This window comes from Homo sapiens, chromosome 9, assembly GCF_000001405.40.
Source record: "Homo sapiens chromosome 9, GRCh38.p14 Primary Assembly".
NCBI lineage: Eukaryota > Metazoa > Chordata > Mammalia > Primates > Hominidae > Homo > Homo sapiens.
Genome location: NC_000009.12, coordinates 136848882 through 136875556, shown reverse-complemented (window position 1 = coordinate 136875556; position 26675 = coordinate 136848882). Strand labels below are relative to the sequence as shown.

At 58.4% G+C, this 26675-nt stretch overlaps 3 protein-coding genes across 12 annotated transcripts, besides 7 other annotated features; 1 reads left to right on the top strand and 2 right to left on the bottom strand.

Annotated features, from left to right (window-relative positions):
- Nucleotides 8948–9257: a silencer, noted in NCBI's record as "silent region_20556". NCBI's record gives its function as "represses an Ori minimal core promoter by ATAC-STARR-seq in GM12878 lymphoblastoid cells {active_cell/tissue: GM12878}" and the evidence as "EXISTENCE:reporter gene assay evidence [ECO:0000049][PMID:35858748]".
- On the top strand, nt 9249–13438 carry EDF1 (endothelial differentiation related factor 1). 5 transcript variants are annotated; one of them, NM_001281298.2, is made up of 5 exons: nt 9249–9376; nt 11686–11737; nt 12109–12206; nt 12558–12651; nt 13212–13438. In NM_001281298.2, exons 1-5 carry the CDS (start codon nt 9299–9301, stop codon nt 13271–13273), a joined length of 384 nt encoding a protein of 127 aa, NP_001268227.1. In that variant the 5' UTR covers nt 9249–9298; the 3' UTR covers nt 13274–13438. The 5 variants fall into 5 exon arrangements, with proteins under 5 accessions (NP_001268227.1, NP_001268228.1, NP_003783.1 ...); NM_001281299.2 differs by having other exon boundaries at nt 12109–12215; NM_003792.4 differs by having other exon boundaries at nt 12109–12269.
- Nucleotides 9358–9547: a silencer, noted in NCBI's record as "silent region_20555". NCBI's record gives its function as "represses an Ori minimal core promoter by ATAC-STARR-seq in GM12878 lymphoblastoid cells {active_cell/tissue: GM12878}" and the evidence as "EXISTENCE:reporter gene assay evidence [ECO:0000049][PMID:35858748]".
- Nucleotides 14758–23211, bottom strand: MAMDC4 (MAM domain containing 4). Its single transcript, NM_206920.3, has 27 exons — nt 23095–23211; nt 22348–22455; nt 22099–22272; nt 21887–22012; nt 21650–21780; nt 21481–21565; nt 21221–21346; nt 20881–21018; nt 20707–20795; nt 20447–20620; nt 20219–20303; nt 19938–20126; nt 19709–19825; nt 19408–19539; nt 18731–18847; nt 18516–18650; nt 18259–18392; nt 17971–18190; nt 17761–17898; nt 17460–17578; nt 17281–17371; nt 17011–17157; nt 16704–16838; nt 16425–16552; nt 16240–16348; nt 15493–15671; nt 14758–14995 (listed from the first exon to the last, which is right to left on the bottom strand). The coding sequence occupies exons 1-27, from the start codon at nt 23138–23140 to the stop codon at nt 14954–14956; spliced, it is 3414 nt and encodes a 1137-aa protein (NP_996803.2). The 5' UTR covers nt 23141–23211; the 3' UTR covers nt 14758–14953.
- Nucleotides 17276–17913: an enhancer, noted in NCBI's record as "H3K27ac-H3K4me1 hESC enhancer chr9:139752096-139752733 (GRCh37/hg19 assembly coordinates)". NCBI's record gives its function as "activates a minimal SCP1, AML or CMV promoter by ChIP-STARR-seq in naive H9 embryonic stem cells {active_cell/tissue: H9 hESC(naive)}" and the evidence as "EXISTENCE:reporter gene assay evidence [ECO:0000049][PMID:30033119]".
- A 1321-nt stretch (nt 23212–24532) lies between the features above and the next one.
- Nucleotides 24533–26148, bottom strand: PHPT1 (phosphohistidine phosphatase 1). 6 transcript variants are annotated; one of them, NM_001287343.2, is made up of 4 exons: nt 25967–26148; nt 25420–25544; nt 24997–25054; nt 24533–24802 (listed from the first exon to the last, which is right to left on the bottom strand). In NM_001287343.2, exons 1-4 carry the CDS (start codon nt 26124–26126, stop codon nt 24768–24770), a joined length of 378 nt encoding a protein of 125 aa, NP_001274272.1. In that variant the 5' UTR covers nt 26127–26148; the 3' UTR covers nt 24533–24767. The 6 variants fall into 6 exon arrangements, 4 of the variants coding, with proteins under 4 accessions (NP_001274272.1, NP_001129333.1, NP_001274271.1 ...); NM_001135861.3 differs by having other exon boundaries at nt 24997–25051; NR_109807.2 differs by having other exon boundaries at nt 24997–25544.
- Nucleotides 25827–25906: a silencer, noted in NCBI's record as "silent region_20554". NCBI's record gives its function as "represses an Ori minimal core promoter by ATAC-STARR-seq in GM12878 lymphoblastoid cells {active_cell/tissue: GM12878}" and the evidence as "EXISTENCE:reporter gene assay evidence [ECO:0000049][PMID:35858748]".
- Nucleotides 25897–26176: an enhancer, noted in NCBI's record as "active region_29329". NCBI's record gives its function as "activates an Ori minimal core promoter by ATAC-STARR-seq in GM12878 lymphoblastoid cells {active_cell/tissue: GM12878}" and the evidence as "EXISTENCE:reporter gene assay evidence [ECO:0000049][PMID:35858748]".
- Nucleotides 26297–26356: a silencer, noted in NCBI's record as "silent region_20553". NCBI's record gives its function as "represses an Ori minimal core promoter by ATAC-STARR-seq in GM12878 lymphoblastoid cells {active_cell/tissue: GM12878}" and the evidence as "EXISTENCE:reporter gene assay evidence [ECO:0000049][PMID:35858748]".
- Nucleotides 26537–26616: a silencer, noted in NCBI's record as "silent region_20552". NCBI's record gives its function as "represses an Ori minimal core promoter by ATAC-STARR-seq in GM12878 lymphoblastoid cells {active_cell/tissue: GM12878}" and the evidence as "EXISTENCE:reporter gene assay evidence [ECO:0000049][PMID:35858748]".

Here is a 26675-nt window from a genome sequence, read left to right as displayed (position 1 = left end):
GATGTCCATGTGTCTTCATTGTGGTGGAGCCGGGGAGGGTCCCGGGGCCTGCCGGGTGCTTCTCACTGTAGGTGGTGCAGCAGCTGACACAGATGGTGGGGAAGAATGTGAATTGAGTAAGTCAAATGGCCCTAGGAAATTAGGCGAAACCTGGTGCAGTTGTGTGGCCTGCTCTTCTTTTGTGTATCAGGGTCTCAACTTTTCTTAGAGGAGCTTATCTAGGTACAGCATGTAGTATCGGCGGTGACACAGACATTTTCTTATTTAACCAATGACCACTCAAGGATTGCTTAGTTTAGGTTCCATTAAGCTACCAGCAGAAGGCACTGATTGTGAAATTTCACAGCATTACCCTGCAAAGTGGAAAGGTACCATTAAGAGGGATAAAGGTTTTGTTATGATGTGGAGTCTCATTCCTTTGTCTTGGGAAGGCTGTCTGCAGCATTTAAACATCAGCTTCTCCTCCTGGTTTGTAGTTTGAATGTCTCTGGTCATAACATCAGACAGTTTGGATTACAGGCTTGAGCCACTGCACCCAGCCCCATCAGTTTCTTTATTACAGTTCTGAAAGTTTTAATTTAGTTCATTGACCTTAAAGTTATCAGAAATCTGCCGGGTGCGGTGGCTCACGCCTGTAATCCCAGCACTTTGGGAGGCCGAGGCGGGCAGATCACGAGGTCAGGAGATCGAGACCACGGTGAAACCCCATCTCTACTAAAAATACAAAAAAAAATTAGCCGGGCGCAGTGGCAGGCACCTGTAGTCCTGGCTACTCAGGAGGCTGAGGCAGGAGAATGGCGTGAACTCGGGAGGCAGAGCTTGCAGTGAGCCGAGATCACGCTACTGCACTCCAGCCTGGGCTACAGAGCAAGACTCCGTCTCAAAAAAAAAAAAAAACAGTTATCAGAAATCTGTGTTCAAGAGTACTTGTTAGAGTCTTTTCCATGAAAACCAATTTTGGACTGTACCTTATTCCAAATGCTTTCAGAAAACCATTGTGAATGATAAAAACTTAAAATAGCCACAGTTAAAAATCTGATGACAGTTCCCAAGTGACAAGGAAACTTAGTTACTTCCATTACATGCAGCATGTTAAGATAGCAACCAGAATGGTGACTACCAGTGTCACATCAGGGCCATCAGACTTTTATAAATTTCATATAATTTTTAGAATACATTAATAACATATCCAGAGCCAGGTGTGGTGGATCATGTCTGTAATCCCAGTAACTTGGGAGGCTGAGGTGACAGGATCACTTTTGGCCAAGAGTTTGAGATCAGGCTGGGCAACATAGCAAGACCCCACCTATAATAAAAATAAAATAAATTACCTGGGTGGTGGCACATGCCTATAGTCCTACCTGCTTGGGAGGCTGAGGTGGGAGGATTTTTTTTTTTTTTTTTGAGACGGAGTCTCGCTGTCACCCAGGCTGGAGTGCAGTGGCACGATCTCGACTCACTGCAGGCTCCGCCCCCCAGGGTTCACACCATTCTCCTGCCTCAGCCTCCCGAGTAGCTGGGACTACAGGCGCCTGCCACCACGCCTGGCTAATTTTTTGTATTTTTAGTGGAGACGGGGTTTCACCGTGTTAGCCAGGATGGTCTCGATCTCCTGACCTCGTGATCCGCCCGCCTCGGCCTCCCAAAGTGCTGGGATTACAGATGTGAGCCACCACGCCTGGCTGGGAGGATTTCTTGAGTCTAAGATTTTGAGGCGGCAGTGAGCCATAATCATGCCAGTACACTCCATCCAGCCTGGGCAACAGAGACCCTGTCTATAATAAACAAACAAAAACGTATCTATACAAATATAACTTTAGGAAAAGTTCAACATAACCAAAATTATGACTAACATTAAATTTTCATGAATTTTTATAATTTGTGGAACATTTATACCAATAAATACTAATAAATATAACTGAAAGATTTAGTGTTATCATTTGACAACTTATCAAATAAGTCTTATCATTTAATATCTCTACAAAGTGAGGTGTATATTCTTTGAGGCTCTTCATGAACCGAAGTGGAAAATCGCAAAGTTAAATTTAGGTCAAAAAGACTTAACTTAGGATATTGATCCTGGGGAAGCCAGTCAAAGATGTCAAAAGATTCAAAACACTTAATAAAAATAGAATCATAGTAACCAGAGTGATAATCAAAAAACTTTGGGCTGGGCTTGGAGGCTCACACCTGTAATCCCAATACTTTGAGAAGCTGAGGTGGGTGGATCACAAGGTCAGGAGTTCGAGACTGGCCTGACCAATATGGTGAAACCCTGTCTCTACTAAAAATACAAAAATTAGCTGGGCATGGTGGTGCGCACCTGTAGTCCCAGCTACTCGGGAGCCTGAGGCAGGAGAATCACTTGAACCCAGGAGGCAGAGGTTGCAGTAAACCAAGGTCATGCCACTGCACTCCAGCCTGGGCAACAGAGAGATACTCTGTCCCTGGAAAAAAAAAAAAAAAAGCAATGTATGACATAGGTGACCAGTTTTTTTAGTTTTGTATTAGTGTATTTTTAATAGAAAAGATCAATATTTAGAAAGACTTACAAATAATTCCTTCTAATTATAGCTAACTTAATTACACACAAAATACCTTTCATAAATTCCCTTTTCACAAGTCTTATCAAAACTTACTCATACCAGACCAGGCGTGGTGGCTCATGCCTGTAATCCCAGCACTTTGGGAGGCTGAGGCTCACCTGAGGTCAGGAGCTCAAGACCAGCCTGGCCAACATGGCGAAACCCCTCTCTACTAAAAATACAAAAACTAGCCAGGAATAGTGGCATGTGCCTGTAATCCCAGCCACTCAGGAGGCTGAGGCAGGAGAATCACTTGAACCCGGGAGGTGGAGGTTGCAGTGAGCTGAGACTGTGCCACTACACTCCAGCGTGGGCAACAGAGCAAGACTGTCTCAAAAAACAAAAACTTACTCAGACTATTGGTGACATGCTTGGACTTTCTGTTTTGTCCTATGGTTCTGCTTTCTTTCCTTATCTTTTTCTTTCTTTCTTTCTTTTTTTTTTTTTTTTTGAGACAGGGCCTGACTCTGTTGCCCAGGCTGGAGTGCAGTGGCTCTATCTTGGCTCACTGCAGTCTTCACCTCCCAGGCTCAGGTGATCTTCCAAATTCAGCCTCCCAATTAGCTGGAACTACAAGTGTGTGCCACCATGGGCAGCTAATTTTTATATTTTTTGTAGAGATGGGGTATCACCATGTTGCCCAGGCTGGTCTTGAACTCTTGAGCTCAAGTGATCCACCTTGCCTCAGCCTTCCAAAGCACTGGGATTACAGGCATGAGCCACCACACCTGGCCAGTTTCTTTTTCTTAAATAACCGGTCACTTTAGGACAAACATTTACCATATGTGATTCCTTCTTATTTAAAATTATTATCTCTCTCTTTTCTTTTCTTTCTTTCTTTCTTTCTTTCTTTTTTTTTTTTTTTTTTTTGACAGAGAGTTTTGTTCTGTTGCCCAGGCTGGAGTGCAGTGGTGTGATCTTGGCTTGCTGCAACCTCTGCCTCCCAGGTTCAAGTGATTCTCCTGCCTCAGCTTCCTGAGTAGCTGGGACTACAGGCACCCACCACCACGCCTGGCTGTTTTGTATTTTTAGTAGAGATGGGGTTTCACCATATTGGCCAGGCTGGCCTCAAACTCCTGACCTTGTGATCCGCCTGCCCCGGCCTCCCAAAGTGTTGGGATTACATGCATGAGCCACCATGCCTGGCTATTTCTTTTTTATAAACTTACTTACCAAAATATATCTTCATATCCATAACTTCACATTTCTCTTTCCTGCTTACTGATTCCTATCTTATTTCATATTTGGAAATAACCTTGAAATAACCTCCAAATTAGACAAAATTATTCTTTAAAAAAATAAAGATCACATTTTATGCCTTTTTTATATTTTTCCTCATCAGAAGCACATGTTATATGGAAATGATCCACACACTTAAAGAACATCTGTTATTTAACATAACACAACTTTAAAATTTAAAGTACATGAAAAGTTCATTTATAAGAATTAATTGGCTGGGCTTGGTGGCTCACACCTGTAATCACAGCACTTTGGGAGGCTGAGGTGGTGGATTACCTGAGGTCAGGAGTTCGAGACCAGCCTGGCCGACATGGTGAAACACCATCTCTACTAAAAATACAAAATTTAGCCAGGTGTGGTGGCGTGCACCTGTAGTCCCAGCTACTCGGGAGGCTGAGGCAGGAGAATCGCTTGAACCCAGGAGGTGGAGGTTGTAGTGAGCTGACATTGTGCCAATGCACTCAAGCTTGGGCAACAGATGGAGTGAGACTCTGTCGCAAAAAAATAACGAATTTATCAGATTTACATTTACGTAATGTATTTATTTATTTATTTACGTATTTAGGGCACATTGGCATTGTGTGTACTAATATACTTATTTTTAACAGATTACCTAGATTACTTATGAAAACTGAGATATTGGCTGGGCACACCTGTAATCCCAGAACTTTGGGAGGCCTAATCAGGCAGATCATGAGGTCAAGAGTTCAAGACCATCCTGGGCAATATGGTGAAACCCCGTCTCTACTAACAATACAAAAATTAGCTGGGCTTGGTGGCATGTGCCTGTAGTCCTGGCTACTTGGGAGGCTGAGGCAGGAGAATTGCTTGAACCTGGGAGGCGGAGGTTGCAGTGAGACAAGATCGCGCCACCGCATTCCATCCCAGGCGACAGTGTGAGACCCCGTCTCAAAAACAGAAAAAAGAAGACATAGTGAGAGCGGAGTAAGCATGTCACTTAAACATGTGGAAGTGAACACCCAAAAGTACAAAGCAGCTGTGAAACTTGGAAGCAGTAACCTCTGGGGATTGGGAACATGGTGGGCAGAGGGACAGGGGGTGACCACTGATTTTTTAAAAATCCAAGCTGTCCTGTGAGACTTTTATTATTTATTTATTTACTGAGACAGGGTCTTACTGTTGTCCAGGCTGGAGTGCGATGGCATGATCATGGTTCACCATAGGCTTGACCTTCCAGGTTCAAGTGATCCTCCTACTGCAGCTTCCTGAGTAGCTGGGACCACAGGCACACATCACCACACCCAGCTAATTGTTTGTATGTTTTTGTAGAGACAGGGTTTTACCATGTTGCCCAGGCTGGTCTCGAACTCCTGGCCTTAAGCGATTTCCCACCTCGGCCTCCCAAAGTGCTGCATTGTGGGAGGCTGAGGTGGGAGGATCGCTTAAGCCTGGGAGGTTGGGCCTGCTGTGAGCTGTGATCACGCCACTGCATTCCAGCCTGGATGCCACAGTGAGACCTTGTCTCTAAATAAATAAATAGTAGGAAAATGTTTCCGACATGGTGAATGTGTGGTACTATATAGTCCTAAGAAGCTCAGTGGGCCAGATGTGGTGGCTCACGCCTGTAGTCCCAACACTTTGGGAGGCCGAGGCGGGCGGATCACCTGAGGTCAAAAGTTTGAGACCAGCCTGGCCAACATGATGAAACCCGTCTCTACTAAAAACACAAAAAATTAGTCAGGCGTGGTGGCAGGTGCCTGTAATCCCAGCTATTCAGGAGGCTGAGGCAGGAAAATCACTTGAACCTGGGAGGCAGAGGTTGCAGTGAGCCTAGATCATGTCACTGCACTCCAGTCTGGATGACAAGAGCGAAACTCCATCTCAAAAAAAAAAAAGAAAAGAAAATTAGCTGGGCATGAACCCAGGAGGTGGAGGTTGTAGCAAGCCAAGATCGTGCCACTGCACTCCAGCCTGGGTGACACAGCAAGATTCCATCTCAAAAAAAAATAAAATAAAAAAGCAGCTCAGTGAACCCAAGCAAGGTAAATACAAAGGAAAATATGCTTAGGCACATGCTAAGAAAACTGAAGATCAGGCTGGGGGTGTTGGAACATGCCTGTAATTCCAGTATTTTGGGAGGCTGAGGTGGGAGGATCACTTGAGCCCAGGAGGTTGAGGCTGCAGTGAGCCATGATTGTGCCACTGCACTCCAGCCTGGGCAACAGAGTGAGGCCCTGTCTCAAAAAAAAAAAAAAAAGAAAAAAAAAAGAAAAAGAAAAGAAAAAGAAAACTGAAGACAGGGATAGTCTTGAAAGAGCCAGAGGACATGCCACATTGTCACATAACCTGCTGGGGAACCAGGACACAAATGACTGATCACTGATTCTCACTGGCAAGGATGGAAGTTGGAAGACAATGGGATGACGTTTATACAATAGTGTATCCTTCAAACACAAGGGCAAAATAGAGACATTTTCAGTTAAATGAAAGATGAAACTACAGCAGATGGTACTAAAAGGACCGAAGAAAGGCTGGAGGGAAATTATGCCAGAGAGACACTAAGATCTGCAGATGGAAATGAAGAGACTTTTTTTCTCCAGAAGTCTTTGGAATTGTCTTTTCTCCATGCATGAAGCTAAATGGATAACTGGTAGACAGACTGGTGCAACATCTCCAGTGAGATACGAGAGGCTCACCAGACCCCCCAAAGCTGCTTCTTTGTATCAGCTGCTTTCCTCTGGGCCCGAAGTCGGAAGAATCCAGGAATAGGAGGGAGTGCAAACAAACGACCCCGGAGTGGGACGGACGGAGTGGGATGGAGTGGGACGGAGTGGGCAGTGAGGACAGCCTCACACAGACACCTGTATCCATCATGCCTTGGTGCAGGGAGTGCCAAGGACAGGGCACAAGTGACTTGTGGCATCAGGCCTGGACTCCCGATGGAGGGCCAGATGGGACAACGGCTGTCTTGGTGGACACCTGCAGAGGACAGCTAGATGTAGCTGTCCCCTCTCTCTCAGCCCAGGCTCACTACGGAGCTAGCTGAGCCCCACTTGCATGGGTCTCCCAGGCTCTGAAAAGGGCCTCCCAATGCGTTCATGAGATCAGGTGTTGGTTAAGTTTGTCATGTTAGGAGGCCTGAACTGCAGTGTTAACAAGGCTGCCTCTTTCCAGGCCAACTCCACCTTCATCACAATCTTCCTGGGGGCTGGTGGCACTGGAGTGACGATAAGCATTTTTGGCACACAACAAAGGGGGACTTGAGTGGAGATACATCCAGTCAGAGTTTATGGGATATTTTCTTTTTCTTTCTTTCTTTTTTTTGTTTTTCTGAGACAGCAGAGTCTTGCTCTGTCCCTAGGCTGGAGTGCAATGGTGCGGTGTCGTCGACTCACTGCAACCTCCGCCTCCCGGTTCAAGCAATTCTCCTGCCTCAGCCTCCTGAGTAGCTGGGACTACAGGCACGCACCACCATGCCCAGCTGATTTTTGTATTTTTAATAGAGACAGGGTTTCACCGTGTTGGCCAGGATGATCTCGATCTCTCAACCTCGTGATCCATCCGCCTCGGCCTTCCAAAGTGCTGGGATTACAGAAGTGAGCCACTGCGCCCGGCCACAAGAGATTATTTTCATTCAGTGGAAGCACATCCTTGCTGGCCGGCTGAGGCTGTTGAGTCCTTAGCCGAACGGAGCTTGGTGCTGGAAGTCGGCGGGAAACAGAGAAGCAAGGTTTGTATGGACGGAGCCATCAGTGTGTCCCCAAGGTTCTTCCAATCATCCGGTGTGAAAAACGGTAAGCAGAAGACTCAACTTCCCACTGCCTGGTTAGAATTACAGTTGTCTCCTCCGCGGAGTGCATTTGCTAATGCAGCATTTCCAATTTAATACAGCATTTATGTATGTTTTCTTTTTGGATGGAGACTGCATTTATCAGGTTCCTTGTTTGTGGAGCATCTATTCAAAGCCCGGAAGTCAATACTATGATTAGGGCCTGCGGTGGCTCAAGCCTGTAATCCCAGGCTTTGGGAGGCCGAGGCGGGAGGATCACGCGAGCTCAGGAGTTCCAGACCGACGAGCCAGGGCGGCACGGAGACCCCATCTCTACCCCACAAAATACAAAAATTAGCCAGGCGTGGGGGCCGCGCCTATAGTCCCATCGCTTGAGCGCAGGACGTCGAGGCTGCAGTGAGCTGAGATCTCAATGTTGTGCTCCAGCGTGGGCCACAGAGTGAGACCCTGTCTATAAAAATAAAAATCCTAAAAAAGTTGTTCAATGATAATGTATAATGACCTTTCTCATTATACAAAACGGCTGGAAAATAGGGTATTACAGAATTATTGTCATATAACATATACACTTTATACATTACAGAAAATAAACATCATGCAAAACCATTCATTTTTGCAACCGATGTTTTCACAGTTTTCCATTCTTTTTCTTTTTTTTTGAAACGCAGTTTCATTCTTGTTGCCCAGGCTGGAGTGCAATAGCGCGATCTCGGCTCACCGCAACCTCCGCCTCCCGGGTTCAACTGATTCTTCTGCCTCAGCCTCCCCGAGTAGCTGAGATTACAGGTGCCCGCCACCACGTCCGGCTAATTTTGTATTTTTAGTAGAGACGGGGTTTCTCCATGTTGGTCAGGCTGGTCTCGAACTCCCGACCTCAGGTGATACGCCCGCCTCGGCCTCCCAAAGTTCTGGGACTACAGGCGTGAACCACCGTGCCCGGCTTGCGTTCTTTTTCTTAAAGAGTCCCACCTGCGGATCACGAGATCAGGAGATCGAGACCATCCTGGCCCGTCTCTACTAAAAATAAAATAAAATAAAATAAATAAATTAGCCGGGCGTGGTGGCTGGCGCCTGTAGTCCCAGGTACTCGGGAGGCTGAGGCAGGAGAATGGCATGAACCCGGGAGACGGAGTGAGCCGAGATCGCGCCACGGCACCCAGCCTGGGCGATAGAGCAAGACTCCATCTCAAAAAATAAAAGTTAAAAAAAAAAAAGTGTCCCACCCCACGCTGCGTTTCGGGCCCCACGGCCCTGGTCCTCGAGCGCAGGTCCCAGCCGCGCAGGCGGCAAAACAAAGGGGGGCGGCCGCACGGCTAGAGCGGAGACCCCGCGCCCCCTCCGCCCGCGTGGCCCGGCCGGGGTGCGGGGCCCGGGGAGGCACGGGGGCTGCGCGTCGGGGCGCAGCCGCCGCCCGCGTGTGCTCGGAGGCCGCGGGGCCCGGGCTCCGGGGTCCTCCCGACCTGCAGCCCCAGCGGCTACCGCGCCTCGCCAGGCCAGGCCAGGCCCCGACGTCGCCTTCCCTACGTCGCCGGCGCCCGGCCACGACGTCCCTCAGACGAGCCGAACGCCGAATGGCCCCGAGCACGGGAAGTGCCCGCCCCCCGCGTGCAGCCAGCCAATGGGACGCCGAAAGCGGGGAGGTGCCGAGGGGACGTAGCGTCGCCGCGCCAGGTCTCTAGCAGCTGCCGCTGAGCCGCCGGACGGACGCTCGTCTTCGCCCGCCATGGCCGAGAGCGACTGGGACACGGTGACGGTGCTGCGCAAGAAGGGCCCTACGGCCGCCCAGGCCAAATCCAAGCAGGTGCTTTGCTGACTGAGGAGCGGCCGGGCCGGGCGGGGCGGACGCTGGGCCGGGGCCACGGACCGTGGGGCAGGGGGCTCGGGGAAGGGCAGGCGGGGCCTGGGACAGGGCGCAGGGGACGGGGACAAGGCTGGGGTGCCGGGGGCAGGACGGGGTTCGAAGGGCGGGGCGAATCGCAGGGGTAGGAGGACCGGGCCAGGACAGGGGTGGGAAGGTGGGGGGCGGACCCAGGAGGGGATGGACGGACCCAGGAGGCAGGGGGCGGGCGACTGGAGGAGGAGAGGAGCAGGGAACCGGACGGGGCAAGGGGCAGGCGATAGGGCCGGGACCAGTGCCAGGGTGGGGCGGGGAGGGGATAGGGGCAGGGACTGTTGGTGGGGACAGGTGTGAGGACAGAGGCAGGAGGTGGGGACGGGGACGGGGACAAGGCTGGGGGCCTTGTGTGAGGATAGGGGACAGAGAACCAGGGTGGGCACTGGGAACGGGGGCAGGGATGGAGATGGGGACAGGGCTTGGAAGAACAGGGTAGAGTGGGGTACAGGGCTTAGGACAGGGGTGGGGACTGGGGCAAGCAGCAGGAACCAGCGATGAAGGTGGGGAATTGGGGTTGGGATAGGGCTGGGGGCCATTGGACAGCAGTTGAGGGCCTGGGGCGGGAGACTGGGTGACGGGGCAGAGGTTAGTGACCTGAGTGGGAGCTGGGGACAGGGGGTAGGCTCCTCCCTGAGAGTTTTCTCTCTGCCTGGGACCTGCTTGGTTCTACTGGTCTCCGCTGGTCAGATACTGCCCAGGGAGCCTGCCTGGGTGCATCACAGGCTGTAGAGAGTGCCTGCTTCAGGGGACCCCATGAGCAGGTGGACCCTGTTGCACAGGTGGAAGATGGGCGTGCCCTGAACAGTACTTGTGGAAGGAGATTACCAATGTGGCTGATGGATCCGAGGGTCAGTTGTGAGTCTGATGTAATAGGGAGGACAGTTTAGTCACCGCCTCTGCCTCATTCGTACCCTCAGGTGGCCTAGGGCTGAAGCCTTTGAGGCCAGTTGGGCCAGGATGCGCTGGGGCTCTGGTGACAGGGATTCATTGGTCTGCCCTACCCTTACTGGTTGCACAGTCAAAACCAAATTCACTCTCCTTTTCTTTTAAAGGAAACTTAATGGCCACAAGCTAGGAGTCATGGGAATAATTGCGTGGCAGCATCTGTGAGCAGATCACACTTAGGATGCTCCACAAGTCACTCCTCTGAAGTGGTAGAAATGTTGGCCGGGCGCGGTGGCTCACGCCTGTAATCCCAGCACTCTGGGAGGCCAAGGCAGGTGGATCATGAGGTCAGGAGTTCAAGACCAGCCTGGCCAAGATGGTGAAACCCCGTCTCTACTAAAAATACAAAAAATTAGCCAGGCACGGTGGCAGGAGCCTGTAATCCCAGCTACTCGGGAGGCTGAGGCAGGAGAATTGCTTGAACTCGGAGGGCGAAGGTTGCAGTGAGCCGAGATCGTGTCACTGCATTCCAGCCTGGGCAACAGAGTGAGACTCTGTCTCAAAAAAAAAAAGTTAATAAATACATTATATTAATATTCAGTGACTGTAGATGAGATGGCATCACTGTTATTGGTGATGTTTCTGGAGAGCCTGCAGGCTTCCATGAGATGTGTCATCTCTGTGTTACTAGGAACCAGATTCAGGGAGGAAGGCCACACCAGGCCAGTATTTGGTGTTCCTTCCTACTTTTGCAGTAGAGTCCAGCAGAAAAGTAAATCTGTGCTAAATATGATTTCTCAAAAAGAATCCACTAACGCATACCAGCTATTCAGGAGGGAGGCTGAGGCCAGAGGCTCACTTGAGCCCAGGAGTTCCAGACCAGCCTGGGCAACATAGCAAGACCTCAACTCTAAAAAAAAAAAAAAAAAATCCCTAGTGTGTCTTTCTCAACAGCAAAGGAAGTGGTGTTCTCTTAGCAGTTAACTGTGACTTTCTTAGACATCTGATTGTAGAGGCTTTTGTATAATGAGTTTGGGGTTTTGTTGTGTTTTATTGTTTGTAGAGACAGGATCTTGCTGTGTTGCCCAGGCTGGTCTCGAACTCGTGGCCTCAAGTGATCCTGCTACTTCGGTTTCCCAAAGTGCTGGGATTACAGGCATAAGCCATGGTGCCTAGTTGAGCTTAGGTAACTGAACCCAGGACTGCATATCAGTCCTTGGGCACCACTAGTCCTTAGCAGTGTGCTAACTGGCTAACAGCAGGCCTGAATTGGTGTGTGCTGGATACTGTCAAAGCTAATTTTGATCCACTGATGTTTTCTAATTTTCTAGGCTATCTTAGCGGCACAGAGACGAGGAGAAGATGTGGAGACTTCCAAGAAATGTAGGTACTTGTGTTTCCGCTTGCAACATGAGGCTGTGCTGTGGGGTCCATGTGCTGGTGGGTGTGGTGTGTGCGGCGCCCCCGGGGACGTTGTCAGCTGAGTGCCTGCCTGCACCGGTGCTGGCCGGAGCCCTGGGAGGCAGCCATCTTCCCAGAGCAGCTCTGGTTGGCATGAGTACAGCTGCCTGTCCTCATAACTGAGAGAAAACTCTGGAAGTCCACGACCTGAGGTGTGTGAACTTGGGACAGCCTGGGTTCCCATGTCCCCTTGAGTTCAGGCAGCCTCTGGGGTCTGGTTACCGCTTTGAAATGGTTTTTCTTCAGGTTAATTCCAAATCCTCTCCTCTGCTTTTGCCTCACACCGACTCCAGGGGCTGCTGGCCAGAACAAACAACATTCTATTACCAAGAACACGGCCAAGCTGGACCGGGAGACAGAGGAGCTGCACCATGACAGGGTGACCCTGGAGGTGGGCAAGGTGATCCAGCAAGGTCGGCAGAGCAAGGGGCTTACGCAGAAGGACCTGGCCACGGTGAGGCTGCGCCGGGGCTCTCACTCCTGGGGTTGTGGGTTTGGGGAGGGGGATGGCCGGTGTTCAGATAGCACGGGGAGGGTGGGCTCCACCCCCCTGGTTCCCCTGCAGGGAATGCCTCGGGAAGCCAGGTCAGCCCGGCTCTCACTGCCTCTCGCACAAAACCCAGCTGCGTGTGGGTGCGTACCCCAGGGGCCCTAGAAGCTGCTGTTCTCAGGCGACGCTTCGCGCCTGGTTTTGCAGCAGTCCTAGTGGAGCTGATGTGTATAAAGCACATCTTCTCTTTAGAAAATCAATGAGAAGCCACAGGTGATCGCGGACTATGAGAGCGGACGGGCCATACCCAATAACCAGGTGCTTGGCAAAATCGAGCGGGCCATTGGTGAGTGTCCCTCCACCCTTCGCCGGGTCCGCTGAACAGGGAGGCTACCCGCTCCCAGCTGGGGTTGGTGAGAGTGGGACTCGGGGGAAGAAGATGGCCCTGGGGGTCCCCTGTTCTCTGAATTCTGGAGCTTTGCTTCTCCAGGTAGTACAGACTGAGGGATGGTGGGGTCTCTGCAGGCCTCAGGAAACCCCTAAGAGCAAGTGGAGTCCGAGTCCCTTCCCCTTGCCAGTTCCCGTCAGCCTGTGCTGTTGGCGATGGTTCTCTGAGCCTGAGCACAGCGGGTCCGGGCCCTGTCAGCATGGGGCCGGAAGCCAGTTCCACAGAGGACCCCGGCTCCGGTTCTTCCGGAGAGGGGTGTTCATGCTCTGCTGTCTAAGGTGATCAGACTCATCCTCTTCAAAATTAGATGTGGGAACCAGGAGTGCTCGTGTGCTGAGAGCCCAGTGAGGCACGGGAGCGGCGTGGCCCCCCTTCCCTGGGAAGATGTTGAAGAGGGGCAGCGTTGGGGGGAGGAGGGAGCTGGTGCTGCAGTGGCCAGTGGCTGTGGCTCATTTCAGGCCTCAAGCTCCGGGGAAAGGACATTGGAAAGCCCATCGAGAAGGGGCCTAGGGCGAAATGAACACAAAGCCTCGAAATCAGTGCGCTCCAGCTGATCTCGTTCCGCCGGTTCCCCTTGGCCGCCAGTTCCGTTCTCCTCACGGGCCGAACGGAACAAGGGGTCCAGCTTGCGGGGGACCCTCCCCAGCCCATTCCTGCTGTCAAACAAACAAAACCTTGCAAAGCGCTGGGTTCTGCTGGCTGTTTTTCTCCCTACATCGCGTTCCTCAGATCAGGGTGCAGAACTCCACCTTCCTGTCCTGGGGTGTCTGCCCAGTAGCGGTTGTGGCTCAGAGGCCTCGGGGAGCTCTGAGCACCACCTTATACAAGGGTGAGGGGTGGAGGCCTGAGGCGTGGAAGGAAGAGGAGCGGTGTCACTGGGCGCTGCTTTCTTTGATGCAGCTCTGAAGAGAAGCTGGGAAAAGTTCCTGCCCTTGGCGCTGGGGCCAGATTGTCCGGTCCTGCTCTCAGCTCCCAGGCCCCTAGTTGTGGGGAAAGCTGGTGAATTTTCATGACTGATGCCCGGGAGTGGGCTGCCGGGGGGAGCTCTGAAGGTCTCTGCAGGGCCATTTCCTCTTCGCCCATCTGCGTGGACAGTTGGTGGGCACTGGTCAGCCCCACGGCACCTGAAGACGAGGGACGGCGGTAGCCGTGCCCAACTGCCGCCCTCCGCTGGGACTTAGTCCCCAGGGCGGATGGGAGCCTAGCGGCTGGCAAGGGTGCTGTGCTGTGCCCTCCAACACCGCATGGCTCCTGGGGGCAGATGTGTGTTCATGAGGCAGGGTAGGGCTTTCCTGTGGGCAGGAGGGGGCCTGGCTGCACAGGTCTGGGTATCGCTACCCTCCCTGGGGACAGCCACCCACAGCCAGGCCTCAGAGCCACAAGACCAGGCCCTCACCATGGGGCAGTGGCCAAGTCACCCACATGGAGGAGCAGAGCTCTGGGAGCTGAGGTTAGTGACGTTGACCCTGCGTTAGGATGGCAGTCCTCTGCTGGTGCCCCAGGCCCAGTGACAGCTTCACAGGGTCACCCTCCTGCTCAGGCATGGGGGCCAAAGGGAAGGGCTCAGCCGCAGCCTTGAGGCACCCACTTAGCTGGCCACTGCGACCCACAGCCCTGGGGCACCTGGTGACCTGGGTACTGTGACCCACAGCCCCTGGGGCAGCTCAGGCCTATACCACAGACAGTGGGCCCAGCTGGGGCACTTCTCCCTTCCAGGCCTGCTCCATGCACCCTGTCCCCTAAGGGTCATCTCCTCTGCATGCCCCTGATGCTGTGGGTCAGTTTCACTGTTGTCCTCAATAGATGCAGAGCCCCTAGCTGGTAGGGCCTGCCCCGGCCCTTGTCCTGGGTGGGTCTGTGTCCTGATGAGAGAGGGTCCCCTTGTCTCTGGTTCCTGAGCTGCATCCAGAAGCAAGCAGGCGCCCCTAGCACGTCACTTAACACTTGCAGCCCCCACCCTCACTGGCTGGTAAAGTGTGGACACACTGACTTCACCCTGGGAGCTTGGGCTGCCCTCATGGGCCAGGGTGTTTATTCACAGAGCAACAGAGTCAGCACAGGGCAGGGAACGCCCAGGCCTCAGCATATCCTGAGACCTGCAGCCTGTCCCAGCCTGGGCGGGGCAGGTGTCCGGTCCCTGGCTAGGGTCTGACCAAGTGCTGGATGTCACGTGAGGAAGCGGGGCCTTGTCTGGGGTGGTCTACGGATCACTGGTGACAGATGCCGGGAGGGTGACACCATCCTAGGAGGAGGAAGAGGAGCTTTTTTTTTCTTTCTTTCCTGAGACGGAGTTTCGCTCTTGTCAACCAGGATGGAGTGCAATGGCACGATCTTCGCTCACTGCAACCCCTGCCTCCCTGGTTCAAGCGATTCTCCTGCCTCAGCCTCCCGAGTAGTTGGGATTACAGGTTCCTGCCACCATACCCAGCTAATTTTTTCTAGTTTTAGTTGAGACGGGGTTTCACCATGTTGGGCAGGCTGGTCTCAAACTCCTGACCTCAGGTGATCCGCCCACCTCAATCTCCCAAAGTGCTGGGATTACAGGTGTGAGCCACCGCGCCCGGCCAAGGAGGAGGAGCTTTGACAGTGGTGGCTGGGAGAGGCAGGGCAGGGAGGGCAAGGATGGGCCTTGCACAGGTGGGGGCTCCTCCCCGGGGGGTTGTGTCCCGCCACTGCCCGCCCTCCAGCGTCACAGCTGAGCACAGAGGCTCCTGCCCACCCATCCCCAGGGGCTCCTACCGCATTGAAAAGGATGTTGTCAAAGCCAGGGGCTGTGGCCTCTGTGTTGCTCTGGAAGGGGCAGCTCCCCTTCTTCTGCAGCCAGCGCCGTCCCCCAAGTCCCAGCAGCACCAGGAGCATGAGCAATAGGAGGGCACTGCCAACCACAGCTGGCACAGACCCGGGTGCGGCTGTGTTCCCTGTGGGCCATAGGGACATGTGAGCCCTCCAAAGCAGCCCCCACATCTGGGGCTAAGGAGGAAGCCTGGGGCTGCATGGTCCCTCAGCCTCTGCTGGCTCCTGGGGTTCACCCCTATTTCAAAGGCAGAGGGTATTGGTTCTGCTACCACAAGGATGGGGCCTGGCAGACAGGCAGCTGCTGTCTGCAGACTTGGTGGGGCTCATGGCCCCAGGCGAGATTCTTTCCCTCACCAAGTGAGAGCAGTCAGTGGCTGCCCTGACCCGGCTGGCGGTTCCTCCAGGATGGACCTTGCCCTGGGTGTGGGCACAGGGAGCACAGAGGCCACAGCCAGGCAGGGCAGGCCCCAGAGGCTGCACCCCAGGGACAGCCCAGCCCAGGCAGCGGCCCCAGGGGTGAGCAGGGCAGAGTGAGGAGGGCACAGGGCCTGGGCCTGGCAGCTCTCTTGTCCTGTCTGGGTGCAGCATGCTCGCAGCTCCTGGGACCACACACTGGTAAGCCTGGCAAACCCCGAGCCAGGCTGGCCCCTTGGGCCCTCCTCCGTGCCTCCACTGCAGCCCAGGGCTCACCCGGGCTGGGGGCAGGCTGCTGGCAATGCTGCCCAGCCAGATACTCCACGTCATCCAGGGCAATGGGCCCCAGGGCTGGCTGGCCGCCCAGAGTGGCTTCAAACACGATCTGATGGAGAAGGAAAGGAGTTTGTGTGGGCCCTGGGTGGAGGAGGAGGAGGCTCCTTGCCCACAGCCAGCCTCACCTGGAACTCCTTGGCACTGGCTACCTCCACCTGGGCCTCCAGCCACTGGTGCCGCCGATGCCCGCCTGCGCCCCACACAGCCAGCTGGCCCTGAGCACTGTGCAGCAGTACCTTCAGCTCCCCCTTGTCTGAGAGCAGGGCCAGGGCGTGTCAGGCCTGGGGTCCTGGGGCTCCTGCACGCCTAACCAGGGGCGGGCTGGGGAGGCCACCTCCCCACCTCTGCTCCTGGACCCCTGCTGCCCCCGTTGCCCAGGCACCCATTGGCCCAGCCGGACTCACAGAAGTGCTCAGGAAAACCCATGTGGTACCAGAAGCGGAGGCAGGAGGCTGGGGTGGCCGGCAGAGGCTCGCTGCGCAGCCAGGCGGCCCGGCCCCCGGGGCCCAGCACGCCAGTTTCAAAGAAGGCAAAGTGGCCTGGGAACAAGAGGAGGCTGATGCCCAGCTGATGGGCAGAGCCAGCCCTCAGGGCCCGAGCAGAGGCTCGGTGAGCAGGGCCTCCTCTGGATGGGGCATGTACTCTGTGGGTGGGCAGCAGGAGGCCAGGTGGCTGTGTGTGCCTCCCCACCTGGCTCCAGTGGGCACGTACCTGCCTCTGTGCCCAGGGTGTGGTCCACAGGGGGCTGGGGGTAACGAGAGGGGGTGGCTCCCCCGCCCCAGTCCCAGCTGTATCCGCCCAGGCCGGGCCAGGCCAGGTGGCTCCAGCCACACAGGCCAGACTCAAAATCACAGGAACCTGCAGGACATGGGTGGGTGAGTGGTGCTGCCCCACGGCCCAAGCCCTGGGCACCACGACTACGAAGGGAAAGGGCTAGGCAGGCACCCCAGAGCAGGGCCGAGGCCACGGCAGGGCTCCCACCTGGCTGAGGGCAGGGCCCGTCCTGGAGGAGCAGATCATCCAGAGCCACGTAGGAGTGTGCCACGCCTGCGGCCACTGCCTCAAACACCACCTGGCGGGTGCAGGGCAGGGCAGCCTCAGCGGGTCCAGGCAGCCCTCGGGGGAGGGGGAGGGGGAGGGGCACCCCACCCTGCACTCACCCTCCAGGCTCGCTCGGCCTGCACGTCCATGCTGCCCAGGCGCCAGGCAAGCCCGCCGTGGGCACTGAGGCTGAGCACCTGGTGCCTCCCGCGCTCCTCCAGGTAGACCCGCAGGGTGCCTGCCAGCAGGGGCGGCCCAGGTCAGCAGTGTGGGGAGAGCACCTGCAGGCCCTGGTCTGAGCTCCCAGGCTCCCAGCCTGGCGGGCGCAAGAGGCTCCCCAGTGGCCTCAGCACAAGGCTGGTGGGGACACCAGGCCAAGCTTCCCTGAGCCCACTGGGGCCCCCTCCCAAAGCCCCTCACCTGGGCTGCGGAGGCTCCCGTGGTACCAGAAGGTCAGACAAGCAGGCTGGGCCAGGGGCCTGTGCTCCTTGGAGGTCAGGGAGGCCGTCTGGCCCCGGGGTAGTGCGTCTGGGCTTGTGTCCACCACCATGTAGTGCCCTGGAGGTGCCAGCATCAGCCTGCCAGCCCCTGGCCAGCCCCTCAATCCCTGCCCCTGCCAGGCCCCCATACCTTGGGCTGTCTCAGTGGTATGGTCTGTTGGGGGGCCCCAGGCAGCATGGCCCGAGGCATTGGCCTGCCGCCTCCAGAGACCTTGGCCTCCAGGGGAGAAGCCGCAGTCTGAGTCCTCAAAGGAGCAGTAATTAGGGGCCCAGCAGGGGCCCGGCCGCACGGCCACATCGTCCAGCGCCATGGTGCCGTGGTATCCGTCCCGGAGGCCCTCGAACAGCAGCTGGGGGTGGAGGGTGTCAGCTGGCCAGGGGCCCTGCCCTGTCCTCCCACCCGGGTGCCAGGCCTCACCTGGTACTGGGCATGGGAGCCAGGCTGGTGGGAAAGGGTGGCCCAGGCCTCGTGCCAGCGGTTGCCCTGGGTGCCTGACCGCGACCACAGGTGTGTCTCCTCCCCTTCCCGTCTCATGGCTAGGCGCAGAGTCCCTGCAGGGAGGGGACCAGTCCATAACTGACCTCTCTCCTGTGCCTTGATGGGTGTCAGAGCGGGGGACTCTGAACCCCCGGGGGCCTCCCCACAGGCTCTGCCCTGTTTCCAGGTCCACTCACCAATCTGGGGCCCATGGAGGTGGTACCAGAAGCTGAGACACTCCGTGGGTGCTGCTGGCACCTGGGGCCTGGAGAGCAGGTGGGCACTGTGGCCCCAGGCCAGGGGGTCTGTGGGGTCCAGGAGCACAAAGTGGCCTGCAGGGGGCATGGGGCTGTGCTGCAGAGATGCCCCACTCTCGTCTGAAAGCCACCCCCGGTCTGAGCGCCCATCCTACCTTGGCCTGTGGTGTGGTCGTGGTCAGGGCCGCGGCTCTCCACCCAGCGCCAGTGTGTGTCTGAGAGGTGGCCTGGGTACCAGCTGCATGTGTCCCGCTCAAAGTTACAGGAGACCTCTGGGGGTGGGGCCAGGTGGCGTCACACACCTTCTCCCCTCCCCCTCCAGAGCCCTGAGAAGGTGGAAGCTCCGGGGTCCCTGGAGGAGTGTAAGGGGAGCACCCAGGTGGGAGTGAGGATGGGCAGCAGGAACCTCTGTCTCTCTCGGTGGTCACTGTGGGGCTACAGTCCCTCAGGGTCACGTTGTCCACCCCAGCTCCCTGCTGGTCAGGGCCATCCAAGTCCACCAAACCGACAAACTCCAGCTTCATGGGGTAGGGGGATGAGGAGGATGGTTAAGTCAGGGCCCGCTCCAGCGGAGCTCCCACTCTGGGCTGCCCTCCTCACCCGGAAGGGCCGGCGGCGGGCCCCTAGAAGGACCTTGTCCACCTTCCAGATGCCTGCACTGCTGCTCAGGGCCTGCCATGCCAGCTCCCGGGAGCCGTTGTCCACCACAACTAGTGCCAGGAAGCCTGGCCAGCGGGGCGGGGGGCACTGTGGGTCACCCGGCCCCAGACCCCTCCCACTGTGCAGGGAGCACCCAGGGGCTGGCCAGGGAACTTGCGGAGTGTGGCGGTACCTCGGGGCTGGCTCTGTAAATAATAAGCCAGGTGGAGTTCACAGCTGGGGCCAGAAGGGCCAAGGAGGGGTGTGAGGACCCGGGCCTCAGCGCCTAGCTGCCCCCAGGCCCGCTGCAGAGACAGGAAGTGCCCTAGGGGAAGAGCATGGTGCTCAGAGCCTCATCCCTTCCAGGGCCCCACTCTGTCCCTCAGGGATCCCCAGTCCAGAGACCCTCTGTAGTGCAGAGGCAGAGCAGAGACCCCTCTGAGGACGCTGCTCACACCCGGGCGGGGGCTTGAGCCTTGGGCCTTGGGCCTCACCAGCAGCAGCTGCACTGGACCCCTGGCTCTCCTGGGCTGAGACACGCCGCCACTGCAGCCGCCCCACGCTGGCGTCCTCCCAGCCCCCAGCCTCGGGGGACTCAAAGTCTGTGGTGCCTGGAACAGCAGCCGGCACTGAATGGCAGAGTCCTCAGAGTCCTCAGCCTGCCCCGGCGCCTACCCCCTTGGCTCCGCAGCAGGAGGTCTGCAGGAGGTTGAGCCCCTTTACCACAGGCCTGCTCGTCCTCGCCCCCTGCGCACTGCTCCTCGAAGTCACACAGTTGTTCCGGGGGCACACACAGGTCCCCGCAGGCAAGATGCCCCTGCTTGCAGGAATCCTGGAGCCGCGAGCTGGGCGGCAGGGGCTGGGGGGCTGGGGCCCGGGGCCCAGGAGGCAGCGGCTGCAGGGTGGACACCTCTGTGGGGGCAGAACTGGTGTCAGGAGGCAGGGATGGGGAGTGCTGTGCCTCTCCAGGGCAAGGCAGGGTAGGGCAGAGTCAGCAGGCTCACCCGAGACTGGTCTGCAGTGGTCAGACAGGATGAGGTCGTCCAGACCCACGACGCCCCCCGGGCCTGTCTGCCCGGCCAGGAGGATCTGAGGGCAGAGGGGCTCAGGGGGTGCCCAGCCTATTTCCCCCTGGGGTCTGGTCCCTGTCCACCCGCAGTGGGTACCTTGTGGGTTCCCCTCCCCTGCCCACAGTGCGGCTCCCCAGACCCCACCCTCTTGCTGTTCCCTACCTGGAAGGGGTAGGCGCTCTGGATGTCAACACGGTCTCGGACCCAGGCGGTCCCCAGCTCCCCTCGGCGCCTCCGCAGCAGGACGGGGGCCCGGGGGGCGCCGGGCCCCAGAGTCTGCAGGAACAGCTGGAGGCAGCCAGCCTCAGACCCACTCAGGTACTGATAGAAGACCAGCTGTGGAACCAAGAGCTGGCTGGGGGCCTGCACCGGGGCAGCCAGCACGGAGAGCAGGGAGGCCCTGTGAGCCCCACCCATCTCACCGAGCAGTTGGAGGTGCCTGAGGCTTGGAATTCGGGGCTGGAGAGTATAGCAGGGGTGCCAGGCTCGGCCACGGAGACCAGGAAGGAGCCTGCGGGAAAGGACGGGAGTGGGCCAGGGCCACTGGGCTGTGGCTGCGTGGGCAGGGCCTGGGCCGGGTCCTCTGTGGGCCTCACCCTGTGCACTGTTCCGGCTGTGGTCACGGCGTGGCCAGGAGGGGCGCTCAGGACCACCAGCGCGGTGGTTCCGGGACCAGCCTTCCGAGCGGTTCCATGGGCCCAGGCCTGTCTCAAAGTCGGTGGCTATGTGGCGGCCTAGGGCAGGAGGTGGGCGTGTCAGGGCCACCAGGCAGTGCTTCCTGAAGCCGTATGGCCCCAGCTCCAGGGGGGCCCTGGCAACCACACCCCAAGAAGGACCATCCAAGGATCCAAGGCACCCCCTCCTGGATGAGTGCCAGGGCCCCCACCGAGGCGTCCAGTCTCCCAGCCTCACTCTGGGCCCCCACTCCGGCCTCACCACAGGTGAGTGGGTTCTCATCAGACAGGTCCCCGCAGTTGTCTTCCCCGTCGCACAGCTGCTGGGGCTCCACGCAGACCTTGTTCTGGCAGTGGTGGTGTCCCGGGGGACAGTTGGCCTGGGGGGCTGGGTGGGGCAGGGTTAACCCTTCACCGAGGCCCCAGGAGTGGGAGAGCACTCGGGGGCAGACAGGGTCTGAGCAGGGGAGTGGGCAGGTGGGGGCCCTCCCGGGGGTGGAACAGGAAGAGGCGGTGCCTTACTGGGCAGACCACAGTCCCAGAACTCTAGGTCATCTAGAGCCACAGCGCCCCTGTGGGTGGCATTTCGGGTGGCAGAGAAGGTCACCTGAAGAGAACAGGCTCTTAGGACCTAAGTCAGGGCCCAGACCCCTCCTCAAGGCCCCCACTCGTCCAGACCCTCCCAGCTCACTCGGAAGTCACCCCGGATGCGGCCTGTGGTCACTGCCAACTCCTGCCAGCCAGGGCCCCAGGGCCCTGTGCTCTGCCACAGGGTCAGGGTCTCTGCGCCATGGGTCAGCTCCACCCGCAGTTCAGCCACATCTGCAATGTCAGGGGTCCCAGGGCAGCTGCGGCCCTGCTTGTCCCCAGCTGCCCACCCGCCCTCCCCTTGGGCACCCCCCACGAGCCTTGGGGGTCCAGGGTGCACCTCCAGAGGCCGCGTGGTACCAGAGCCTCAGCTTGCAAGAGGAGGCTGCCTCTCGCAGGGTTGGCGAGCGCAGGGCTGCGGTGGATGCCTCTTTCCCTCGGTGGGTTCCAACGGCCATGTACCAGCCTGGCGCAGGTGAGAGGTCAGGAGACGGGGCAGGGAGCAAGGAGGGTATTGGGACAGGGGCGCACAGAGACTTGCCCTGGCCTCACCCAAGTCGGTGCCCAGTGTGTGGTCTGAGTGAGGCCCAGGACCCTCCAGTGCGGCCCCTGCCCTGTCTCGGAGCCAGCTGTAGCCTGAGGTACTAATGTCCCGCCAGCCGCAGGGGTCCTGCTCGAAGTCACAGGCGAAGGGGGCGCCCAGGGTGGGCGAGGCCCCGTGGTAACCTGGGAGAGTGGGTGGTCAGGTGTGTGCCAGACCTGCTCGCACTGGCCCTGCCCGCCCATCTGGTCTTGGCTCACCACACTGGGCCTCATCTGAGCAGTCCCTGCAGTCACACACGAAGTTGCACACGGCCTGGCCAGGGCTCCTGCAGTGGTTGGGGACCCAGGCCCAGCCTGAGGACCCTGCTGCTGGGAGGTTGACAGCCAGGTGGCCTGGGGGCAGGGTGACCAGCCATCCCAGCCTGCCTAGGACTATTCAGTTTTAGCACTGGACATCTTTTGTCCGGGGATGCCCCTCAGACCAGGAGATGGAGCAGGGAGGGGCTGGGACCCACAGAGAACTCCCACCCGGCTCAGGACCAAGCACAGCACGTTCCTGTTTCCAGCCCTGAAGAGGCTGGGGAGGGGGACCCGGCCATGGGGCACCCCAAGAAAGGTAGCAGGAACCCAGAGTGCCCAGCAGGGAACTGGGCACTGGGAGGGCGACCCCCAATGGGAGGCATCGACGGGCGGCCCAGGGCCTCCACAAGCTCCACCCAGTCCAAGGGTGGCAGATGAAGGCTGGCAGAGCTGGGGGCACCTCCTGAGCCCTCTTGTCCCAGACTGGGAGGGGAGTCGTGCCTCTTCCTTTGCTTGGCAGGCCCGAGGACCCCATGGGCTGATTCCAGGTCACCCCCCTTGCAGGCCGGCCAAGGTAGTACCTTGCAACCCTCCTTCCCTTTGGGGCTCAGGCATCAGCCCTGGTGTCCGTCACTGCCACACAGATGGTAGGCTCAGAAGCCAGGGCCCCTGGTCCTGCCTCAGGAGTGGGACCAGACTACTTACCCAGGAACAGGACCAAGGCGGGCAGCAGGTGGCTGGACAGAGGCATGGTTGGGCCAGAGGGAGCAGTGCGGCCACACAGGGTGCCTGGGAAGTTCCGTGCGGTTATCAGCCTGCGCTGGCCCCGCACGCTGACTCTGCTGTTAAGTGGAGGGCCCCTCGGCCCGGCCCCACCCAGTGCTGACGGTGCCAAGCATGGGCCGTGAAAGTGGCCCCAGGAGGGGGCCTCTGACCCAGGGTCAGCTCCCACCTGCCCGGCTCCCTCAGACACAAGGTCAGGCTCTTCCACCCTGCCCTGCCCTGCCTGGTGAAGGGGAGGCTCCCACTGGAATGGGGAGGGACCCAGGCACCCCACCAGGACTCTGCTCGGCAGTGTGGGGCGGGCAGAGGCCGCCGTGGCCTCTCACTGTGCCTCTGGCAATAGCGTGGTGCTGGCCAAGGTCAGGACTCAACCAGTCCAGCAGCTGCAGGAGTCCAGCACGTGCACCAGAGCTGGTCCCTGCGTTCTCAGCCGTGGGGAACCTGCCTTTAAGTCAGGCTGTGGAGGATCACGCCGTCATTCATTCGTCCTGAGCAGCCAGGTGCTGTCCGGTGCCAGATACAGGGTCCCTAGGAGCCCAGAAACTTCGGTTTCTCATGGAGCAGACTCATGCTTGGGGCAGGGTCTTTGGGGCTGGGGAAGGAGTGTGGCATTTGGGGCCAGGCCCTGTTTGTGATTTCCCATGGTGTGACCTCGGAGCTTGTGTCACTGAGCCTCAGTGTCCCGGTCTGTAAAATGTGGTTATGACAGTGCCCGTCTGGAGAGGCTGGCCGGAGGACCAGTGAGCTGACAAAGGTGGGGGTGCCCTGTGTACAACCAGCCCTGGCCCCCAGGGTGCCCCTGCACCACCCCATGGAGTCCCACTGTGTATGGGGCTTCCCAGGGCAAGGCCTGAACCCGTGTCCTGCCCACAGCCCTGCCGGGTGCAAGAGGGACCTGGGAGGGGCCTCCAGAGTCAACGTGAGCCTGTGGGGTAGATGCAGCTGTGCGACCTGACCCTGGATACTGGTAGGCCCCATGGGGCTGGTCATGGAAGGAGCCTGCAGGTCACGGAAGGAGCCTCAGGGCAGACAGGACACTGGGGAGCCCTGGGATGGGCTCATAGGAGGGAGCACTGGTGGGCGCCCCAGGTCTTGGCCAGCCCGAGGGACCAGGCCCTGACTCCTCTCGCAAGGGCTTGCCAGACCTCCTCCAAGATGCCCTGGAGGACGATGGCCGTGGGAAGAGCAGTCAGGCCATCAGCGGGCCCCTTTATCAGACCCCAAAGGGCTGAGTGTGCACCGCCACTCCCTGGGGCCACTCCTGTGTTCCCCCACCCACCTGCTTTAGTTAGGGTCTGGGGGCCCCCGGAGGTGGTGACGCAGGGTGCAGGAAGCCAAGGACAGAGTTCAGAAGCCGGCAGGTGTGGCAACACGTTTAATTCTGTGGCCAGGCTAGCCTGTCTCCAAGGCCTGGTGGACAGCACGTCACCAGAGGCTGCCGCAGGAGCAGGCAGGGCCAGCCCTGCAAGAGGAGTGCAGGCAAAGGCGGGGGCTCTGAAGTGGCTGCTGGAGGCAGCAGGCCCCGGGCTGGGAGTGCTCAGTAGCCGTCGTTAGCCCAGGTGACCTCGTAGTCGGGGTACTTGGCTTTGATTTTCTCAGTTGAAATGGCGTGCTGGGCAGGACCATAGGCCTGGAGAAGAGAAGACGCCTGCTGGCACTACCTGGACCCTTCAACCCGATACCCGGCTCTGGGCATCCAGCCACCAGCCACACCAGAAGCGAGTGTGGGAAAGGGATAGGCAGTGCCTGGGGATGCCAAACCCACCATCCCGACCGCCCTTGGGGGCTCCCCTGGGGAGAGGCGACCTCCACAGGCAAGCAAACCTTGATGGTGGATCCTGGGGCCTGAGGCGCCCAGAGGGACGCACGTGGGTCTCATCTGCTGGTGGTTTTTGTGAAGAGCACAGGTGGGGACTCTGAGCTCCACCCAGGTACTGACTGCCTCTGGGGGCCCAGGGCCCAAAGTGCTGGAGGACAGCTAGAGCCCAGCAAGGCCTCCCAAGGCAGGGAGAGGAGACAGCCGGCCATGTCTGGGGGTGTCCGTCCCACCCCTCAGGTCTGGCGTGTGCTCCATGGGGGAATGCAGGAACACAATGGGCCCTGGAGGGAGGGCTCTGCCGCCGACCCTGGGAGAACCCCAGGAAGCCTGCGTGCTCAGCTGGGGCCACGGGTCAGGGCAGCAGGCTCAGGTGGGCCTCGAAGCTGGTACTGGGGCCTCCGGCAGGGCGGGACGGGGCTGCGGCTCACCATGGAATAGCCGTACACGTGAATCTTCTTGTCCTGACTCTGGTGGGAGATGCGCCCGCCGCCCAGACACTCACAGTCGCAGCCTTGCTTCTGCATGTCGCCCGACACTTTGTCGTAGATGTCCGCTGGGATGGGAGGGCGGCCTCAGGACGTGCCCTGGCCGCCCTTGGAGGCCGCGGGAGGAACTCCCAGCCGAAGGGGTCTGAAATCCCAGCTCTGAACAGCCCCTTCCCCAGGAGAGACGAAGCCCCTTGAGGCTGGGACAGGGATGAATGAGCGAAGGAGGGTGGAACCGGGGAGGGCGCGGGAACTGGGAGACTGCTGGGGAGGGTGTCAGGCCGTGTCACGCCCTTCCCGCCCAGGACCTCAGCCTGGGTCAAACCTAGCAGGGGCAGGACTCGGAGCAGAGCGCAGTCCGCTACGGCCCGCAGCCCCGCCCCCGCCCCGCCAGCCCCGCCCCTGCCTCGTCAGCCCCGTCTCCGTCCCGCCAGCCCCGCCCCCGCCTCGCCAGGCGTGCCCCTGGCATGCCCGCAGGTCCCGCCCTCACCATGGTACTCAGCCCACTTGTAGCCGCGCACGATCTCCTTGCTCTCTGCAGCCGGAGCCCCGGAGCGGGGAGCCGAGTGGACTCGGATCAGCACATACTTGAAGACGCCGTCGGAGTCGATGTCCACATCAGGAATGAGAGCGAGGTCCGCCACCGCCATGTTCCTCCTCCCGGAGTCCCCTCCTCCCACCCGACCCGGGGGCCGCTTGTACTGCGGGAGGCGGGCTCTGCGAGAGCGACGACCAATCCCGTCGGGGAATGCTTCCCAAGGCCCAGCGCCTCAGCCAATTGTACCGCCGACCGAGGCACGTGCTGACCAATCGCAATCCAGTTCCTTGCCGCCTTGCGGCTCCGCCAGCCCCGCTTAAAGGAAACGTGGAATCGGGAATGGGTGGTGATGAAATCCAGCCAACGGAGAAGTTCCTCTCCAGCGGGGTCCGGTGGCACCCTTGGAACGGGGCAGTTAGGCGGCCCGCGAGGCTGGGGCAACGAGGGAGGCCTGAGGGACTTGCCAGCCCTGACCTCCTGTCCCGCACGTAGTCCGAAGACCACCCTCCCCGTGGCCCCCACCGCCCAAAGGCCTCCCTCTCTCCCCCTCCCACCGCCCGAAGGCCTCCCCCCTCCCCGCTCTCCACCGCCCGAAGGCCTCGCTCTCCACCCCCTCCACCGCCCGAAGGACTCCCTCTCTTCCCCGTCCACCGCCCGAAGG